General features: G+C 42.6%; 1 annotated feature.

Annotated features, from left to right (window-relative positions):
• Nucleotides 856-1,361: an enhancer, noted in NCBI's record as "OCT4-NANOG-H3K27ac-H3K4me1 hESC enhancer chrX:9116815-9117320 (GRCh37/hg19 assembly coordinates)". NCBI's record gives its function as "activates a minimal SCP1, AML or CMV promoter by ChIP-STARR-seq in primed H9 embryonic stem cells {active_cell/tissue: H9 hESC(primed)}" and the evidence as "EXISTENCE:reporter gene assay evidence [ECO:0000049][PMID:30033119]".

Raw genomic sequence — 5,009 nt, 5'->3', positions numbered from 1 at the left:
ACCATGCATAGTAGTCTTAAACATAGTTTGTTGTTAATCCGATACTTATATTTGATGGCACCATGCCATGCTCCTTTTGGAGTGAGTGAACCAAGAATTGCCACATTGTAAAGTTGTGTTTCCATGACAAATATGCTCACAGGGGCTCCATTCTTTGCCTCATGTGCTTTGTATTTCTTGTCTCAAGTCTGTCCTTGACCTTGTCCCACCCCAGAATTTCCATTGCACTTTGCATGGTGTGCAACAAAACCAAATAGGAGAGTCAGGAAGAAGTGTTAAAAGAAAAACTGTAGCTTAATTCAATTTAAGAGGGTTTAATTGTGCAAAGAATGATTCGTGAATTGGGCAGCCTCCCAAGCCAGAGTAGGCTCAGAGACTCCAGCACAGCCACGTGATGGAAGAAGATATATAGACAGAAAAAGGAAAGTGACGTACAGAAAACAGAAGTGAGGTATGGAAACAGCCAGATTGGTTAGAGCTAGACATTTGCCTTATTTGAACACGGTTTGAACAGTTGGTCACCTGTGATTGGCCAAAACTCGGTGATTGGCACAAGAGTAGGTTATAGTCTGTTTACACTTCCATTTAGGTTATAGTTCACGATTGTACAGAAAAACCTTTAGGCTGAACTTAAAATATGTAAGGAGGCAGCTTCGGGCTAAACTTGATTTAACAGAAGCAACTCAGAGCCCGAAGTACATATGGGAAAGAAGTTGGTTGGGACCATGAGGATCTTCTATAGACAACTTAGAATGAGCCATGAGTCTCTTCAGGTGATATTGGTGTTAGGATGTGCATTTTTATATTACAGAGGCTTACTTTTCAACGTGCACTCCTTCCCTGGGCGCTTGCTCAAAATGTCAATGCTTAGCCCCATCCCAGAACCAATGAGTCAGCATCTCAGGCATGAGCTCAGGAATCTGCCCCATCACAGGCTCTCCAGGGGTTTCTGATGCATGTCAACATTTGGGAAGCACTGCTCTATCTCCTGCTTTGTGAATCTGGGAAGAACTCTGCCCTTTAAAGGCCAGGCCTGTTCCCTCTGAGGACTCAGCTCCTTGGGCAGGGAGCAACTGTATCACCTAATGAAGGATTTCACTTCTAGTTCTCTTTTGTTCAGGTGATGTTGTGCTGAGATATATTCTCTTAAAATTGAAGAATGACCCAAATAAAACAAAAACCCTGCAATTTCATTGCATGAATCTGATTCATCTCTTAAAAAAAATACCCAAACTGTACTGCAGGAACTCGGCCTGACTGCACCATCGATTATCCTAGGAATAAACAAGCAGACTTTCCCTCCTATCCTAGCAACTTCCCGAGCAAAACAAGGAAGGAATGTGCCCAGAGGCTCTGTAGCAACCCGCGGTGCAAGTCCCAATTAGACTCAAGGCAGAAACAAATTCAGGAATGAAAACATACGTAAAGAACGAATAGATAAGAAAAATTTCTATGAGTTATGGTTTTTTGTTTGGGGGGCAGGGAGATGAATGTTTAAATTATTGGGGTGTTCCTCTAAGTCAAGGTTTCTCAGTTTCAGCATAATTGACGTCTGGGACCCCTAATTTATTTGCTGCAGGAGGATGGGGTGATCCTGTCCTGTGCACTGCAGGGTGTTTGGCAGCATCCCTGGCCTCTCCCCACTGGATGCCAGTAGCAACCCTCCCTCCCCAATTGTGACAACCAGAAATGTTTTCAGACATTGTCTCAGATCTCCCGGGAGACAAAATTGCCCCAAGTTGAGAACCACAAATTGTAAATAAATCTAGAACCCTTGTGATATTTGCTCAAAATGCTTCTTATATTTAATAGGGCCTGTAATCCCAGCTACTCGGGAGGCTGAGGCAGGAGAATCGCTTGAACCCGGGAGACGGAGGTTTCAGAGAGCCGAGTTCATGCCACTGCACTCCAGCCTGGGCGACAGAGTGAGACTCTGTCTCAAAAAAAAAAAATTTAATAGGAACACTACACTGCTTATTCCCATTAAGCCTGGCAAACTGACAGTGGCAAGGAAAGCCTTTGATAACCTAAGTTTAATGAGAGCTGCCTACAAGAGCTGAGGCCTGACCTCGGTGAGCTATTACAGGAAAAGTTTTTAAAAACAAAGCCGGCTTCTGTCAGTGGATGGGATGCATTTGAAAGGGGCAAGCAAAGGCTGTGTTCTGCAAATGCGGGCTGTGGCTGGGGGTGGGGGAGGGAGATGAAGCGGGCTAAGGTGGATGGGGAGGCGGAAGAAGGCTGCTGCCTGGACAGCTTGCTGGCCTGCAAAGATTTTCCATCTTACAGGCGTTCATGGGAGACATGAGAAGGTTCAAAAAGCCACCGTGAAGTTTGGCAGTCTTAATCCCTTTGTTTTCTCAGCTGGCTTAAGGGGGTACACTAAGTGTGACTGCAGCTAGCCCTTTATGAAGACCATAAACTCAGCCAAGTATGTTTGCAGGGCTGCAGTTGTGGAAGAAGACAAAGCATACGCGATCTGTTGTTTCAGCTTCTTTTTGAGATTCTTGCTGTCGAGTTTTTTATAAGACAGAAATTTTGAAAACAATCCCACCAGTTAAATAGAGGCTGAATTCTCACAGTGAGTCCCTTGCATGATTTGAAAATATTGTTTGAATATTATTATAGCTATGCTTGTGGTCCTTCAGTTAAGCATCAGGCTTTTTTACGCTCTATAAGTGAAGGTTACACTTAGCGGTATGAGTCCTTCACCTAGAAAACCATGGCCAAAAAAAAAAAAAAAAGCTGCAGCAGATTTTTGTTACATTCTGCAAATGGTGAGCATGTAATAAGGCTCCTGCTGGCTATGAAGAAGAGCTTGGTATGCTGCTGAGTGGAATGGAGCCACCGAGGCCAGGAGGGCCGCCTGTGAGCACTGAAGGGCCTGCTGTGTGCCAGGAGCTTCCATCTGCCTCATTCATTGTCTCTCAGGACAATCCTGGAATGTACTTTGCAGAAAAGGAAACCCAACTGTAGAAAAATTAACTTCTCCATGCTCACCTCACTTATACGTAGTAACTAGGATTTCAATCCAATTTGCTTAAACTCAGAGATTTTTACTGCATTTTGCTCTCAGCAGTGTGGGAACACCTGGCCCTCGGCTCCCAGAGTAATCTGATTTCCCAACACCAACAGAGTTCTTTTTCTTTTCTTTTTTAAAAAATGGGGTAAAATACACATAAAGTTGACCATTTTAAGCATACGAGTTTCCGGCTCAGTGGCATTAAGTACATTCACAAGATTATTCCTCTGTCTAGTTCCGGGGCATTTTCATCATCCGGAAATGAAATCCTTATCCACTAATCAGTCACTGCCCTTTTCCTCCTCCGGCAGCTCCCGGTTACTACTCATGTGCTTTCTGTGTCTATGCATTTACCTATTCTGGACATTTCATATCAATGGAATCATACAACGTGTGGCCTTTTGTGTCTGACTCCATTCACGGAGCATGATGTTTTCAAGCTTCATCCATGTCATAGCATGTGTCAGTCCTTTATTCCTTTTCTGGCTGAATAATGTTTCATTGTCTGGGTAGACCACATACTGTTTATTCATGTGTAGATGGACATTCTGCTGTTGCATATGTGAGTGTGACAGAGTATGTGTGCATGCGTGTGCATCCAGATGTGTGTGCATGTATGAGTGTGTTTGAGGGCATGTATCTGCATGGGTGTGCATGTGTGTGCATGTGTATGTGTATGTGTGTGTGTGTATGTACACATGTATTTATTCTTTTGTTCTGTCTACAGACTCCACTCAGTCTCAGTATTCTCTGCTCCCTCATTCCTTCCATCTCTCTGATCTTCTATTGCACAGTAGCATCCCTGTTAGACTTTCTCGGATGCTCTGATGTGCAGCTTGCCTGTCTTCTGCCCTGTGGTACCCTCTACAAATGTTCTAGGCTGCAGCCTTCTCTTCTCAGTTGTGTGAGTAAACATTCCTTCATTTTCTCTCTGTCTTTAGACCATTGGTTCTTCACGAGGGTGATGGTGCCCCCAGGAGCTACTTGATAATGTCTGGAAGAGATTTGGGGTTGTTGTAGTTGGGGGTGAGGGAAGATGCTACTGGCATCGAGTGGACAGGGACCAAGTGTGCTGCTAAACACATATTACAGAGATGCTGCCCTCATAATCTAGAATTATTCAAATGTCAAGAGCGCTGGGATTAGGAAACTTTGACGTAGAATTTTGTTGGAATTGCATATCTGTCAATAGCTTTACACCATAACATTTTTGTTGTCATGGATTTGTTATTTTGATCACCCATTTACCATCAATTTGAGAAGTCTTAAGAGAGAAACGATGTAAAATATGCGCTAAGTCTGCTTTCTTGAATGGGAAGCCTGTGAGCTATATTGTTACTTATTTCAGTTCATATTTCCAAAAAGGGGCATGGAGTTCTGCAAGATTATAAATAATCTAATATCTCTGTCTTAAATATATGCAATGAACCAAATAGGACTTTATAAATTCTTATTTTTCACTCTTTCTTATTTTCATTCACATTATCATTCTTCTGTACACATTAGAAGGTAAGAATTTGGGGGTATGGAATTTTGTGTATGGAAATATGTCAGACATAAAATTCAGTCGTACTCCAATGCACCAATGCCATCCCAAGAAAAAATAGTTGTTTATAAAAATGTGCATGAACTAGGCAGCAGTATATTCCTTCCAAACAACATTTTTGTGAAACTTTTTTTTTCCAGTGCCACAAAGAAACTTGGACATTATCTCAAAGCATTTGTAACAAGAAGCATTTGACCTTTCATTTCCTTTTTAATTGCCAAGATATTGTTTTCCTTTTACATTATTCCACAGAGATAAACTTAGTGCTACCCTTCGCGCGTGAGCCTCTCACTCCACCTTACATTCAGGGCTCCAAATAGTATCACCATGAGCATAGCTGATTTCCAAGCGCTTCCTCGTCATGGTTTCTGATAGGGAAATTCCCTCTGTGCTTCCTCCTATTGGGAACATCTGTTTTGTGTCTCTCTGGTGTTTGGTGACATA

This window comes from Homo sapiens, chromosome X, assembly GCF_000001405.40.
Source record: "Homo sapiens chromosome X, GRCh38.p14 Primary Assembly".
NCBI lineage: Eukaryota > Metazoa > Chordata > Mammalia > Primates > Hominidae > Homo > Homo sapiens.
Note: the sequence above shows the minus strand (reverse complement) of the source record. Positions and strands in the feature narration are given on the sequence as shown.